The sequence below is a fragment of the Homo sapiens genome, chromosome X (assembly GCF_000001405.40).
Source record: "Homo sapiens chromosome X, GRCh38.p14 Primary Assembly".
Taxonomy (NCBI): domain Eukaryota; kingdom Metazoa; phylum Chordata; class Mammalia; order Primates; family Hominidae; genus Homo; species Homo sapiens.
The window spans coordinates 92,386,024-92,403,308 of record NC_000023.11 but is presented as its reverse complement, the minus strand read 5'-3'; the positions used below and the strand labels follow the sequence as shown (position 1 = coordinate 92,403,308).

The window sequence follows — 17,285 nt, the reverse complement described above, 5'->3', positions numbered from 1 at the left end:
CCCAGTACACACGTATAAACAGATACTCAGAACACACAGTAATGACACATGAAACAACTCATGATGTTTTGAAACAAAATAGGAGTTTTGAAAACTTTAAAGGTGAAGATCTAGGTGAAAATTAATAATTAAGACTAATTTAAGATGAGCTTCTTGTATTTTATCAGTGATTTTTGGTTTATCATTTATTCGTTGTATTCTTTTGTTCTGGAAGTTCTCCATTATCAGTATCTCAAGAGGCAAGGTAGTAAAATTTCCATAATTTAAATGCACTATTCATCTTCAATTAGAATCTTTGGTATATATACATATATATACACACACGCACACACTTTTGGCAAATATATGAAATTATAAACACGTATAAAAGAACAAATGCATAGTTGAAAATACAATGTTAATTACTTGTCTTGTATTTGCCTAAGAAGCAATTGTGAAATTTAGCAGTTGTTCCTTATAGATGCTGTTTAAGTTGTCTGTTTACTCTATTGATAGTTATTTTGCTGTGCAGAAGCTCTTTCATTAAATTAGATTCCCATTTGTCAATGTTTGCTTTTGTTGCACTTGCTTTTGTGGTCTTGAAATCTTTGCCAGTTCCTATGTCGAGAATGGATGCTTAGGCTGTATTCCAGGGTTTTATAGTTTGGGGTTTTACATTTAAATCTTTAACCCATCTTGTGTTGATTTTTGTATACGGTGTAAGGAAGCGGTCCAGCTTCAATCTTCTGCATATAGCCAGTTATCCCAGCACCATTTATTGAATAGGGAGTTCTTTCCCCATTGCTTCTTTTTCTCAGCTTTGTCAAGGACCAGATGATTGTATGTGTGTGGCCTTACTTCTAGGCTCTCTATTCGGTTCCACTGGTCTATGTGCCTGTTTTTATACCAGTACCATGTTGTTTTGGTTACTGGATCCTTGTACTATAGTTTGAATTAGAGCAGTGTGACGCCTCCTGCTTTGTTCTTTTTAAGATTTGCCTTGGCTATTCAGGCTCTCTTTTGGTTCCATATGAATTTTAAAATAGCCTTTTTCTCGTTCTGTGAAGAATGTAATCGGTAGTTTGATAGGAATAGAATTGAATCTGTAAATTGCTTTGGGTAACACGGTCATTTTAATGATACTGATTCTTCCTATCCATGAGCTTGGAATGCTTTTCCATTTGTTTGTGTCACCTAGGTTACAGAGTTATTGACAGAACCTAGACTGTATATCAGGTCCCCTTTTTTCTAATCATATTCATTCCACTGAATATACAGTACCAAATATTTGTGCACGTGTTAATTTGATAACGGAATTAATCTTTCCTTCAAAAGCAGAAAGGAGTAAAGGACATGAAGGATTAATTCATGTAACCAGCTTAAGGCCATTTACTTTTTCACAAAAATGATTATATCTCTTTAAAGCCATTTTTACATTTGCTTAAAGTAAAAACGTAGATTCAAGGACAAAAAAGCAGAATACAAATGAAGCGTTATCATTTGATCCATAGTAATTTTTCAAAACTTCAAATTATTGCTTCCAGAACCCTCATGTTTGCCTAACACTATCTTCATTAGATAATTACTTGTTATAAATCAGCACAGGCTGAAGTCTGATAGGACATTCAGCATTCCAGATGTACAGAAGTTTCTTTACTAACTTCAAGATAAAATCCTTTAAAACAAATTGCATTGATTAAAAAACATAGTCCTTATGCTTCCTGTGGAATTTTTTAATAAAAGGTGGCATATTGCCTTGTGGTTACTGGCAATAAATCACCTTAAAATATTACAATGAAATGGCTTGGTCTCATGTAATACAGCCATTGTAAAGAAAATTATAAAAATATTCTTAAAATTTGCAATGAAACACTCTTGTGATGAAGTAAAACAAAATTGTGCTGCCATGTCTACACAAGAAAAAAATGTAATATTAAAAATGTTTTACTTCCGTGACGATTTGGAGTTATAAAAATGCCAAGTATACTATTATTCCTTCCTGTTGAGAGTTAGTTTGCTTCATCTTCAATATATTCAATATTCCTCCACACCTTGAGGAGGAATGTTTATTTGTGCTTATGCCTATGTGACAATAAGCCTGATTATAAGTTTGCAATGACACATTATCAATCTACTTTTTCTAACATCTCAAAAAGTAGCCTGTACATTTAAATATGAAAAAAGGAAAATTTTGACTATATATTTATTATTGCTGGTGCTATTGTAAGATGTGAAACTATTCATCTCTGGGGAAACTTTGGATGGTTAATTTGAGAATGCTAAAATAATTTGAAACAAATAAAATAATCAGTTTTAAACTGCATGAAGTTCTAATTCCAATGAGCCACAATGTTCTTAACTTGGCTATCTTTGATTCCTACCATGGAATAGAAAAAGCCACATAGTGTGAGAGATGAAAACACACCTGCCTACAATTTCCTTAAGCATCTATATTCAGAAAACATCATGCATCCTAAAAACATAGACTTCCCTTCATTTTATGCCCATTACACTCAAGGCACAAAGCCTCATAAAACATACTGGGAGAAGGAGATTGCAATGAAAATGAATGGTGATAATTAAAAAAGATGCAAGAACAAATAATCAGTCAATATTTTTTCACTCTTTGGAATTAAACTAGGATATATAAGTAAGCAATGAGATAAAAAAAAGAAATAAAACTTACACATAATCAGCAGTTACCTAATTAAAGTTCCTATCATAGAATATATCCACATTGAATAGCTAAGCAAATATGTTTCCCAAAACTATGAGAACTTTAACAACAGGACGTTTCTTTTTTATGACTCAATTGCATACACAACAAACAAATTCTTCTGGATATAGGCAAAAGTGGTCAAATAAAACAGTCCAGCACCCCACATTCAATGGAAAACTTATCTGCATCTTTTTTGTCTACTTCCTGTGACTTTCTTGGCTTCCTTTGTTCACCTTTCCCAGTCTGATAATTGTTTGCAAAAGTTGACACTTCAACACTAGCAATGATCCAGAAGAATTCTTAATCTGCTTGAGTTAATAGGAATCACAATGACTTCACCTGCAGAGATGTTTGCTGACTTGATTAGTTGACAGCGCAGCTGGTACTCTGCTTTGCTAATGCCCTATCTGCCCTGTTATTCTTCTGATCAGTTTCCTAGAAATGAAGAGCTTGTCTATAGTTGAACACCTAAAATAAAAACGGCATTTATATTCACCTAGATGACATGGGTGACGTATAAATGGAGTGCATTGTTTTTCAAATAAAAATTATCAGAAAAAGGCCGGGCACGGTGGCTCACGCCTGTAATCCCAGCACTTTGGGAGGCCGAGGCGGGCGGATCACGAGGTCAGGAGATCGAAACCATCCTGGCTAACACGGTGAAACACTATCTCTACTAAAAATACAAAAAAAAAAAAAAAATTAGCCGGGCGTGGTGGCCAGTGCCTGTAGTCCCAGCTACTCGAGAGGCTGAGGCAGGAGAATGGCGTGAACCCAGGAGGTGGAGCTTGCAGTGAGCCGAGATCACGCCACTGCACTCCAGCCTGGGCAACAGAACGAGACTCCGTTTCAAAATAAATAAATAAATAAATACAAATAAGATGTGTGGATTTTTGTGTGCATGTACACATTTGTGTGTGTGGACAGATATACAGAAAGAAGAGAAAGTCTCTTTATTGAAGAATCAAGCAAATATGCACTGACCTTCGAAACTTTCTATAATGCTTTTCTGCACTTTACTATGAGACTTATCTCAAAGTCCCTATAATACAAACTCCAGTATGGTAAAATTTTATGTATCTTAAAATATAATACAATGTGTTTGAGGCTTTAGGACAGATTGTCATGAGTTATTTTAATGCCTCAATTTATCATGGCCAATTGCTGCTCTGCTCTCCTTCATCTTTACCTGGGTCAGCTGCTAAGCACATTTGTTAGAACTTTGCTACCCAAAGTGTAGCCCCCACACCAACAGCATTCACATACCCTGGGGACTTGTTAGAAATGAAAACTCTCTGGTCCCTACACCCAACTGCTGAGTTTGCATTTTAACAAAATTTCTAGGTGGTCTGTATGCATTTGAAACTGAAAAGTGCTGTGTGAGAATATGATTATCTTATAATTTTTTTTTTTTTTTTGACACGGAGTCTGGCTCTGTTGCCCAGGCTGGAGTGCAGTGGCGCTATCTCAGCTCACTGCAAGCTCCGCCTCCAGGGTTCATGCCATTCTCCTGCCTCAGCCTCCCGAGCAGCTGGGACCACAGGCGCCCACCACCACGACCGGCTAATTTTTTATATTTTTAGTAGAGACGGGGTTTCACCTGTGTTAGCCAGGATGGTCTCAATCTCCTGACCTCGTGATCCGCCCGCCTCAGCCTCCCAAAGTGCTGGGATTATAGGCGTGAGCCACCACGCCCGGCTAAAATATTTTTAAATGCTGTAAATATATGTATATATGCAGACAAATACATGCACTTTCATTTAATACAACAATGCTACAAAGCAACTGCTTTTATTATTCTCATTTTAAGGATGCACAAAGCTGAGGCACAGGAAGCCTAAATGTCTTGTCAAATGTCATACTACTAGGAAGGAGCAGACTTGATATTCTATTCTAGGCAATCTGGTCCCACTCCAATAGAATGCTTCTCTTCATAACGAGTTATTTAGTCTTATATACTTTAATAACCACTAAAATGTGTTTTGTAGATAAGAGACTAAGAAAGAAACAGAATATAAGAGAATTAAACATATCTGCATCTCTTACATTTTAATGTATTTTAAAAATCTTATGGGTATTAAAATTCTCTGATTTCAAAAAAAAATCTTTCTGGGAGCAGACAAAGAAATTCATGGTCTTTTGAAAACAAGGTCTCTGAAGGTCAACTTTTTTTTTCTTTCTGCAAAAAATAGTATTGCTAAAGCAGCTCTGAAAGTTCAGTTTCAAGCGTATGATAAATTTCCCTTATGCAGTGAAATTCCAATTCTCTGCCCTGAAAGCAGTATGTTTTTACCCTGTATTGAGTACTAACACATAGACAGATTCACTTCAGACTGTTGGGCATTATGGGATCTTTCTAGATGAAAGGTTTTTTTACTTAGCCACAGTTCATATCCTTTGAAACCCTGAGGGGATATTTGCCAAAGTTACATGGGTATTGAATTGGGCTCAGTTTGTTTAAGATCTTTCGCCATGATATTTGGATTTCAGATATTATATTTCAGAAGTTAAGCTGTTTTGCAAAAATGTAATGGCTAGTTATTTCAGAAGGGAAGACTTAATAGTTCAATACTATGGCACTTTGAATTGAAATTTCAATATTTGGATTTAATTTGGGTCAAATCCTAAAACTCCAGTTTTCTACTTGAATAAAAACATATTTGTGTGAAATTTTTCAATGTATCCTGTTCTTCTGTCCAGTACAATTCATAATCAACTGGGGGAAGAGAAATTAGAAAACATTATTACTGCAAAGTTTGCAATGGATTTAAACTAGTAAAAGTAGCTTTTATAGAAGATTATCTGAACGAAGAAAACAAACACAAACAGCTGAATCAAATACATGATTTATCCAACAACTGAGAATGCCTTTGGTGCATTCATATATCAAAAATATCTCTAATGAGTACTCTGTCCTTGTAACTACAGTCTGAATGAGGCAAAGATCCCTGAATTCCTTGTTAATACTTAACTTAGTCTTTAAAAATCAGATTAATTAGCTACATTCTTTAAAAGAATGTAGAAGACATGTATGTACCTCTGTAAAGTTGACTCCTCCCAGGTTGCAGTGAGCTGAGATCACGCCACTGCACTACAGCCTGGGTGACAGTGAGATTCCGTCCCCCCACCCAAAAAAAAAAAATTGACTCCTTCTTCAAATCAAATTTAAGAGGCATTTCTGCAATATGAGGACACACATTTTCCAAAGAGACAGAATACAGTTAAATGGAACAATCAGTTAGAAAAAATTGTCAGGTTCAGTTTTAGATTAAGTTACATGCATAAATCTAAGGAAATCACAGTCTAAACTCAGCCCTGGAAAACAACATCATTAAAATAAAAATTATAGTGAGCCAAGTGAACCTTGCAATGCACTATTGATAAGCCAAGGAGTAGGAGTAGAATCTTCTAAAAGTTAATTAAAACTCACTGTTTTTTTTACATGCTTCAATAATATTGTCCTATAAAACTAATGCTATTTTCAAGATGATCAAGTATTCTTCTCAAAATATTTTTATTTTTGCATGACTTTCTTAATCCAGAGCATCAATTTCTATGATGTCATCTATTAGTATAAATAAAAGCTAACAGACTTTATATGTAAGACAAACTTCATATAACTTAATGGATTGAGCAGAGTACAACTCCTTTTCATCTCTAGGATAAACAACTAGAGATGAAAAGGAGTTGTACTCTGCTCAATCCATTAGAACTAGAACTAGAGATAAAAGCAGGAAAGCAGGATAACTTTTTTTTTTTTTTTTTTGAGACAGAGTCCCTCTGTCACCCACCCAGGCTGGAGTGCAATGGTGCCATCTCGGCTCACTGCAATCTCCCCCTCTCAGGTTCAAGCAATTCTCCCACTTCAGCCTCCCAAGTAGCTGGGATTACAGGCACCCACCATCATGCCCAGCTAATTTTTGTATTTTTGTAGACACGGGGTTTCACCATGTTGGCCAGGCTGGTCTTGAACTACTGACCTCAGGTGATCCACCCATCTCGGCCTCCGAAAGTGATGGGATTACAGGCATGAGCCACCGTGCCCGGCCAAAAGCAGGATAACTTTTATAGGACATTTATATAACTATAAAAGTTATCCTGCTTTCATCTCAAGTTCTAATCATTATCCAAAAAGGACTATTATAATAGGGTTTACCCAAAACATTTTGACTATATGGCACACTATTAACTCAGTCGATTGAGTCTATGAATATCAATTCCTTGTTAACTGAGACTTCATTCTTCTGGAAAGTAGAAGTAGCATAGAGTTACACAGGAATTTCATATAGAGGAAGAGCTGAGTTTACAGCAGAATGCATAAAAGATATATTCACATATTCTGCGTTTCTCCTCCTGGAGATTCTGTTTATGCACTTTTCATCATATTCAAAGGAAATCTACCTTCTAAAATTCATTTTTTAATTCCAAGTTGTTCTGGAAGTAATCATACACACACGTACACACAATTTAACTACATTAGATAAGCATAGTGAAAAGTGGCTAGTTTTCCTGACATAGAGATCATTATCATTCAGCATGTTTACAGTTTTTTCTGCAGTACTTTCACTGGTTAGCACAAACAGTAATTTTAGAAATCGGCAGTCTGTATTGCTCCAAATGCTCTTCCAGGGCATTTTTAAAATGGGAACCTTTTTTAAAAAAAAAAAGGGCCTCATCACATATAAAAAAGTTCTCCATTTGGATATATTGTAACAGTCCCCTTGAGTGATGATAATGCTAAATTTTATACTACTTTTCTCTCATGAGTTGTTTCATTTAAATTTCAAAAGTAGCTGCTTACCAACATTAGTGACTCTTATTTTAGAACACGATAAACGATACACATCAAAACTTAATTTAGAACATTAAGTTGTTGCTTAAAAGGGCCAAATCTCAGTTATCTCATTTGCATAATGAGGGAGCTGGACTAAATAGCACCCAAGGTCCCTTAGAGCTCTAGAATTTAAAGACAATGTAAAAGGCAACACCTGCACATGTAAATTCTGGGATTTTAATAGTTACAAAATTATGACCCTAGAAGGGGCACTAGAGATTCGTATAATCCCTTCATTATATAAATTAAGAAAAAGAGACAGTGAGGTTAAAAGACCTATCCAAGTTCACAGAGCTAGTTAATTGTAGTAAACGGACTAGAGTTCTGTAATACGTAAGATGATTGCCTAAAACAAATTATCTACAATGGTCTGTGCTGAAAAGGTTTCATGAATAGTGATTACACAAAGAATTACCGCAATAAAAATTCGTATTCAATGTTCAAATATTTTTATCATATAATTAGATACCCCAAAATAATATTTAAAATTACCAGCCTTTCAGGTCTATACAAATTGCAAGAGAAGAATTTTCTAAGAAAAAAATAAACTTTTAATGGCTTATTTCATATACACTATTCAGAAAAAGTTTGTTTAGATAACATACAAACATTTCCAATATAAGATTGATTAAAAAAAGAAGTGCCAGATAAAGACCATGTACCTAGTGGAACTGGGAAAACAATTTCTAAGATTATTGATTAAGAGAGAGAAAAAATTGGCTAAGCGAACACTGTTATCTCTATTCTATTCTCTATTGAGCATCTTCAATATTCAATAAAATGTAAACTAAAAAATCACAGAAATCATGGTAAGACAGATGGTCTATAGTTATTCATTTTTTAATGAATTCCTTGATATATTCACCAGTTGTTGAATGTTCTGTTGATGAAAGCAATCATGAGAGTTGCAAGTTATTGTACAATTTTAAAAGTGTCATGGGGATTAAAAATATGTTGCTATAATACTCCTCACTCATTAAAATTTATAAATCATTTTAAAATAAGAAGTTGATGTGTGGCTAACACTACTAAATATTCCAAGTCACCCAAATGCTACATCTTGAATGACTGATTATACTGACTTTCAAAGAACTTCAAAAAATAACAAATGGCAAATAGTCTGTCTTATAGGCAAAGGAAAGTGAGAAGTAAGATTTTTTAAAAAGCAGAAGAAAGAATGTTGTCATAAAATGAATCGCCTCATGGCTCATAAATTATAGAAACACAAATGTTAAATGACCTTTATTATTTGGTGTAGGAAGCTTAATAAAATTTAGAAGCAAGAGAAGGTTTATTGTGAAGAGAAGGCCACCTATTCTCTGCCACTTTAGGTGATTATTCAAGCTTATTGACATTCCAGACCTATGGCATTGGCTTTCAATTGGCAGCTTGTGCCAGTCTCCTAGTGCTTGTCACTTTCAAACAGAAAAGACAAGATAAGAGATTGCTTTACTTATAGTGGCCTGCTTTTGAGTGATCAACCTCTATCTAATCCATATTATATTTAAGATATTAAAGATACACTCGTCTTAGAGACTGTCACCCAAATAAAATCCTGTAAATGTCTTCAAGTCTCCAACTTTAAAGATACACTTCTCATTTTAATTCATGACCTCTATAATTTTTTAAAGATTATCTCTAGCATAAAGCTTTTGTTGCCTTCACAAAGCCTATATACTCCAAATTAGCAGTCATTTTTCAATTGGTCTACATTGAGATTGCATCTCTTATATAGGGAAGTTGAATATGATAGGATGGTATCGTAAGACGTGTTTTACCCATTTTTCTTATTATAATGTATTTATAAACTTTCAGAAGCTTCAATAGAGAAAGATTTACTTTTGAAAAGCACGTCAGTTTAAATGGTAAAATTAATATACGTCACAGAGCATCTGCTATCAGATCACTGTTTATACCTGCCTAAGCACATTTATTATAAAAACTACTGTCACTACCAAGTATACCTTATTCTCTCTAAAACAATGGCAGATGGCTGAACTCTTGGGTGGAACCATTCTTTATAACCTATTTATATATAGATACTTTTCTAACACTATTTACATAACACATCAGGGACTAAAATAAACTGGTAATAATCATAGACAGTATCAATTATTACAATGATATTTCATTTGAAAAAGAATAAAAGTGACTTTGATATTATTGTTACCTTAAAAATATTAATAAATATTAAGGAAATTTTTAAATTTTCAGTAGCAGCATAAAGCTATATATTGTTTTCTGTTGGCAAGGCAATGAAATAGAGCAGGCATATGTCCTATATTTCCAGAACCCGGGGCCATGGAGTTCAACCTCTTTCTTGAAATAGACCATAACTGATATCATTGATAATGATAACATCACTCCTTAGAAATATTGATTGATTCATTTTTCAAAACACATGACATTAAGCTTGCTGAGCTGATTTAAATTATTTTACTCCCCCCTCTCTACCATGGACTGACACTATTATATAGGCTACTGAGCACAGTTTTAAGAAATAATCTTACAAATACATAGCCTACAGAGTCAGAATTGGCCTTGCTACGTAATTAACCTTTAAAGGGAGCATAATTTCTTTTTGTTAAGTGGAATATATTTCCCATTTGTTTCATGTAAAAATATTAACAAAATGATGCATTCACTTTTCTTTTTATTGTAATACATGAATTGATATGTGACTTTCGTCAAAAATGCATTTTAAAGAAATATTAGAAAGCCCATGGAGTCAAATTTTCCTGGGCATATAGCAGCAAACAAAAACACTTAATTAACAGTTATACGGGTAACATTAGCTGAACTGTGGACTCAGATGATTTTCTGCCACATCAGAAGTGTTACTCTTCTCTTAAATATACTAACCAATACTACTCCTTTTTTCTATAATTGAATCATATTTTCTCCTTGAATTTTTTAGATAAATAATTAGATCACTGCTTTCCCCAAGGTACTAGTATATCAATATTTTCCAGGGAAAAATATTTCCATGGCTTTATTTTGCTTTTAGACAACTGACTCCTAATGTTTTTAATTATGAAAGGCTGAGTTTTAATGACCCATTACTAGCTTATTCTTTTAAAGTTTCACAGTTTTTGGTTTTGATTTTTTAATTTTACCAGTAGTCTACCTTTAGAATTAGATATTCAAATAATGAGATGTTCAAACACTTACTAGTAATTACCCTAGTGTTATTCATGTCAATACTCTTAGCAGATCAGGAGAAAATCTGGCATTTCTCTGAGTAGAAATTCATTCTAGTCAATCAAATTGGTCTCCCACTTTTTATACCAATTTATTAGATTACTGGTAGAAGATCAATCAAAGTGCCTTGCCAGGGAAAGATTAATTACTTCCTTGTTGTGAATTAATTAGTAGTGTATTTGAGTGCTAAGCAAACCTGATCTACTGAAATAAAAATGAATGTCAAACAGATTTGCTAACCTGAGATAAACTCTAGCAGACATCATTTTAATAAAAACATATATTTATCTTTATTTTAAACATATAATTTTTTAGCCCTAAATGTTCTTGAAACTCTATATTTTCTTCTTTTGTATCACAGAAATGACTATGGTATACAAAAAGAGGAAAAGCATTAACTTTTTTGGGGGAAGATGAAGAAATTTCACTCAAGTATTTTGTTACTTTAAGATTCAATGCTAGACACTAGACCAGCTATAACATTTTCAGATAGAGTGACTTCATGCGTGAAATGATCACATACAATGAAGAGGTTTTAAAAAATACAGATGACATAACTTGTTCAGTTGAAGAAAATTAAAATACTGATATAAACTAAATCATTCTCCTCTTCATTTTAGGGGGATTTTTCTCTGCAATTGAACTGATTTATGACTAGAAAGCTGAAGACTGATTTGAGCCTCTTTAGCAATACTCTATTTCTCCATTTATCTTCCAAAGAATTATGGCTATTTTATCTCTTCCAATGAAGCTGGAAAATTATAATATGCCAGCAGATCAGTAGAAATGTAAAAATATTAGTAGTTACCCTTTTAGATCCAACTTACCTATAGTGAAATAGCAGCAATGCATTCTCTATTTGAGGACAAAACATAAAAACCCTGGCTTCATAAACATAGAGTATTAAAAAATCTCAGAAGTTTAATGTGTAGACATTTGCTAATATTTCTATATGTCTCAGAACTCAGTCTGAATCATAAAAACAGAAAAAAAATTTAGAAAACAAATTGGAAAGCATTTTTAAATCATATCCTCAAAAATCATATTTTACCTGAGACTACTTAAAAATAAGTAGATAGGAACATAGGGCCATACATAGTTTAATGTGTTTACAGTAGTCCCAAGAGGATCTCACTGTCCTCAAATCTTTGAGTTAACACTATACCTGGATATGTAAAATCCTCAAAAGTAGACTCACAACTTGTTCTTTACCAGGGCCACATGTGTCTCCATGAATGTGTCTCAAGAAAATCCTTTGAAAATGCGGACATTATCTGTTCCAGTATCCACAGTAACCCAGCAGCAATCAATAGTGCTGTTTTTGAATTGGGTTTCTATTTTGTTTTTGCTTTTTAACAAATTAACTAGCTTCAAAGAGCAGGGTTCATTGTAAATAATCTGATGAGGCTATGGTAGGAGGAAAGGTCTAGAATATAAGCTGTCATCCAAGGAAGACAGAACTGTATAGAATGGCATTAAGTGACCCTTAGTCCAATGGCCACAGTAAAGAGATTGCAATTATAAAATTTAAAAATTACAAAGTCTTCAGATGGAATGAGACAGGATATTTTATTGACTTTGTCTCCTCAAAGAGTAATAATTGGCTTGAGTTTGTTTTCTGTATTTTAAAAAGAAAAGTTAATAGTCTTGGCAAAAGACTTAAGAGAATGAATTGTGTGATTTCTTCACCTAAGCAGCAGATTTTTATCAACCAGGGAACTATATTTTTAAAGCAGTATTAATAAATCCCTCTAGCAAATTTTACAGAATACCCTTATTCATAAATGTCATGTTTATTCCTGTTTTGTGAATTTACAAAGGATTTGCAGAACTATGTGCTATTTTGGCAATTCACTAGCAAGAAAGAAAGCAGATTGAAGATGTAATACATTTCAAAATGTGAAATGGGAACTGCATAAATTAATTCCATTGCTTAAGGACAGCATTTATTTCCTCTGACACTTTACATTCCTATCAGTGGTGCTATTGACAAACACTGCACAGTTTATTGGCATCTGCTCCATATCATAAAACCCATTATTGGGTGCTATTTCAGAGCTATAGCTTTGCTTTTTGAAGAATCAAAATACCTTATCATCAGTATTAGCCTAAAGAGAATACTTTGCTATGGCCAATTCTAAACCAGCTATGTTTTTTCTTTTTAATTAAAACAACACACACACACACACACACACACACACACACGTACTATGTTAAACATTTCACTACCGTGACACATTAAGACAATGGAGCTTCATTTCAAGTAAATTATTGCGCTTCTTGCACTTTTAGTAAGGTCTCTGACTGTCCCAAAACAAAACTCCTAACCAAAATTTTCTTGGAACATGATTTAGGGGGGAGGTTTCACATTTAGTAGGAGAGCAGTTTCTTAGTATTATTCATAGTAAAAAAATAACATTTAAACATTCACTTAACAATATTGTTAGACTTGTAGAAAATGGGCATTCATTTTTAATTATATCTACCCTTTGCATAAGTTTATTAAAATAATAAGCAGCAAAATATATACTTTGCTTTACTATTATCATTGCCCACAGACATCTAGATTTTAAAATAAAATCGATTGAGCAACTAAAGTTTTTAATGCAAATTTTGTGAGTCCTTCATCCTGTAGAGTAAATATGAACAAGATATTTAATGTTCAAGATAATAGTGTAAATATAATTAGAAGAGAGAAATGTTTAGCTCCTAACAGAAAGCACCCTTTTTTTAAAAAAAAAAGCCCCTAAGTATATCAGCTAATACATTGATGCTAGCACTTATATCCTTAACTATAAACAAGATCAGCTTCTGTTAAGAACTATGCATTTGAATACTTTTTAAAACAACTACTTATTTCTAAATATAATTGGGATTAATAAAGCTATATTTAATGTTAAATGTTTTACTATTTCTGACACATACCAATTCTCCTATTATTATCAACAGTATTCCATTTGAGTCTCATTCAGTTGGAATTTTATTTCAGGGTGAGATGTGCACTGTGGATGCTTACTCTGAGTTTACTCTTTAATTGTTGCTATGCAATCCTCTATGAAAGAGGCTTAGTAACACGTCATGTACAAATGAATCAACTCTTTCTAGTTTATAAAAATGATACTTATCCCATTTCTATATTCTTATTTAACAGGGCATGATAGACCTACAACTAAAACAATGATTTATGGAGTAAAGAAGATCAGTGGCACCCTTGCTTAATGTGTATTTGTTACTTATGATCATATTCTTATTAGAGATTAGCTCTTAGTTCATTACACAAGTAAATATAATCACAACTATGTATTTCTACCAGGAGTCATTTTGCTGTACTAAACAAAGTAAATTAAAGATAGTTTAGTGACACAAGGTATAGGGGAATTTTTTATCTTCAGAACAAATGTTGATCATTTATTCCAAGTATAAAATTGAAAATGGAGATAGTAGATTTTTAGGACTGTCTGAACTTGCTGACTCAAAAGTCTCTAATATTTTTACATTAAAAATACCTATAATATATAGCATCTACATCTGTAGAGAGAAAAAGTTGATGTTATGTTGTCATTGGTTCCATATGTTTAGCCTTAGATTATATCATAATGTTTAGCCAATCCATTTCCCTATTTTTTGAAGTTTCAAAAATAGAGGATTAAAATACAATGATAGGGAAGCTATTTTGTTCTAAAGCCTAGAAGCTTTATTTGAATTATACATCCCTGCAATCCATAATGCTCAAAATAACCTTTCAAAATGTCTAGTTTATATTACCTTATTTATGTTTTTGCCAGGTATTTGGCCCATTTTTTTTCATATTGGTTTATGGCTATGACTTTTTTCTCACATACATTGTATGCTTTTTTGTATCTACATACTTTTATGTACATAACATAAATGGAGCAAATTGTAGCTTCTTGCAATTTCAAGACTCTTCTGAGAAATATATATCTTATCAAATTTTGTATTTCCTGAAATTATAAATCAGCAAGGTTGTTCGCTACACGTTCAAGATAATACATTTAATGAAATTTTATTTAATATCAACTCTATGATCCTTTTAAAGAGTTCAACATCTTTGGAATTTGCAAAACACAGATTTTGTGCCTTCTGTCTGAAGACCAAATGTGAATACCTTTCTAAACAGTAACATGGCACAGGTGTGTGATTTCAGTATATTGCTGAAAACCTCAGATGCCCTCTCCTACATTGGAGTCAGGATCTCTTATTTCCTCAGAAAGAAAATAACTGTCAATGGTTTTTATCTCTACTAAAAATAAAAATAAAATCTAGAAAATAATTTTTATATATAAGAAAAAATTTATACCTTCACAAATAAATGAATAAAATAAAATAAATTGGCTGTTTATATACAAATAAATATACAGGTGTACATAAATGGAAAATTCTATCTATGCCTTAACAAAGTCGCTATAATAAATTTCATTCAGCGTAGTTATGATCACACATTTAAAATATTATAAACTGCCTTATACTTGCCATCCATCTAATTCTGTATGTTTACCTTTCAAAAATGTGTCACTATTCACAATAACATAATGAATTAGCCCATGTTATTATGGCTATGATAGCTTGAGTTGCAAACACAGTAAGCCCGTTTATATTGAGGAACCAGAGAGGTATCACTTACTAGATTCAGGATCGGAGTTGCCATCCCCTTCAGTGCGATTGCTGGGTGTAGCACGATCAAAGTACTCCTCCTGAGGATAGCCAAGGGGCAGGCCATGAGATGTGCTGGTAAGGCTGCCTGCATCATGGTCTCCCAGTCCACCATCACTGCTGCTTTCCTGAGAGCCTTCTGGCAGGTGAAATGTGACACGCCGCTGGGACTGAAAGGGAGAATGAAAATTACAGGGTTTCAGATATGATCTGAATAATTGCTTAATGCTGCAATTTAGAAAATGCATTATTTCGGCTATCTGGTGAAGACACATTAACATTATCTTGAGTTGTGAACAATTTCAGGCTTTTGTGAATAACACAATTCTGTGTTCAAACCTTCTTCACCTGAAGGCAGTGTTGCTTCCATTATATTTCGAAACAAGGCACAGCCAGATGCAGAATGAAAGTAAACTTGTTCTAAAGCAAGAGACAGTCAGCTTTATAGCATATTTGAGCAAACTGGAAATTCCAATCATAATTTTAACATGTATTTATTTAGGTATTATTTGGCAATAACTTATTTTTTGAATAATAAGTGTGGATAAATATAACCATACTTTTTTGCTGTATCTGTAAGTTGCTAGTGAGCTGAAACTGTGAATAATAACACAAATTTATTCAATCATGTAGGCTTAGAAAACTAAAAGTACATCATCTTTTAGAAGAATCTTAGGGACAAAATTTTGAATTGGAATTTATTTACATTGATTTTACTTTCTAAGAAAAAGGTAATTACATAATATGGATAACAGTTTATGGCAATTATGAAAACAAATTATAGTTATCATCATAAATGGTATTCCTAGCAGAATATAAAAATATATATACAAATAAAAAGATAAAGATGAAGCATTTGGTTTCCGAAAGAAGAAGTTTGTAACATCTTCACCAGATCTTGTAGCAGCATTTTTGTTTGCAGCATTGCTATGCTATATGTAGTAGTCTCCAAAAATAGGCTCCCCAATGGACATCACCTCTTGATATTCAGACTTTCAAATAGCCTGAGACCACATTGAATCTGCACAGACTCTGTAATCAAACCTTGTAGCTTCTGCTTTGCACCCTTGGAAAACTCACCATGGAAAATTACAGCTGCATTGAAAGTAGTTTGAGTACTGGGAGCATGCCATACTGTGGGGAAGCTCAAGCTAGCTTCGTGGAAAGACTGTATAAAAAGAGACTACAATGCCGAGAGAGGCCCAGCTGTTCCAGCCACTCAAGTTCAGGTGCCGGATATGTACATGAAGAATCCATTATGAACATTCCAGCTGGTGGCCTTATTGGAGTCATCCTAACTATCTTCAGACATTTGAGCACCCCCTACTTAAGGCAGCAGTCATTGTGGAGCAGAAATAGCTATATCTGCTGTACACTACCTAAATTCCTGACCTAAAAATTAAGAAGGACTATTGATTTTTATGTCCCCAAAGATTACTGATGGTTTGCTATGTAACAATAGATCAACCAAAGCACTAAACTACTGGCAGCATGAAAGCTTCAAATTAGGTATAATTTATTTAAGAGATTTGCATATATCAAAGATCACAAGAATTTACATCCTAGGCATTTTCATAACAGAATGCATATGTTTTCACAAATTCAGGTCTAACAGTCAGCCATTTCTTCAGATGGAGCTATGAAAAGATTTGAATATCATACTTCAAACTTATTGGAAGATATATGAAAATATAATAGATGCATAAAATATTTAAGTAGCTCACTTGAATCTTCTTTAGTTTTTAGCCATTATTTTTTATATTAAAGTCTCAATAAAATAGGAGAAAATGACTAATGCATGTAATATGTAATATATCTTATGGAATATGTTTCTGAACATAAAATTACTTCTTCTAATGAGAAATAGTCTGCTGATTTTCT

The 17,285-nt window shown here is 33.3% G+C and overlaps 1 protein-coding gene across 13 annotated transcripts in view; it reads right to left on the bottom strand.

The window, feature by feature from the left end:
• PCDH11X (protocadherin 11 X-linked) overlaps positions 1-17,285 on the bottom strand; it is an 843,856-nt gene that overhangs the window by 219,922 nt on the left and 606,649 nt on the right. For 12 of the 13 annotated variants that reach the window (XM_011530911.3, NM_032968.5, XM_011530910.1 and 9 more), the window contains one exon: positions 15,376-15,574. The exons of the other annotated variant lie outside the window; for it this stretch is intronic. In XM_011530911.3, the coding sequence (XP_011529213.1) occupies positions 15,376-15,574 (199 nt within the window). The remainder of the gene's footprint in view (positions 1-15,375; positions 15,575-17,285) is intronic. 13 annotated transcript variants of the gene reach the window in all.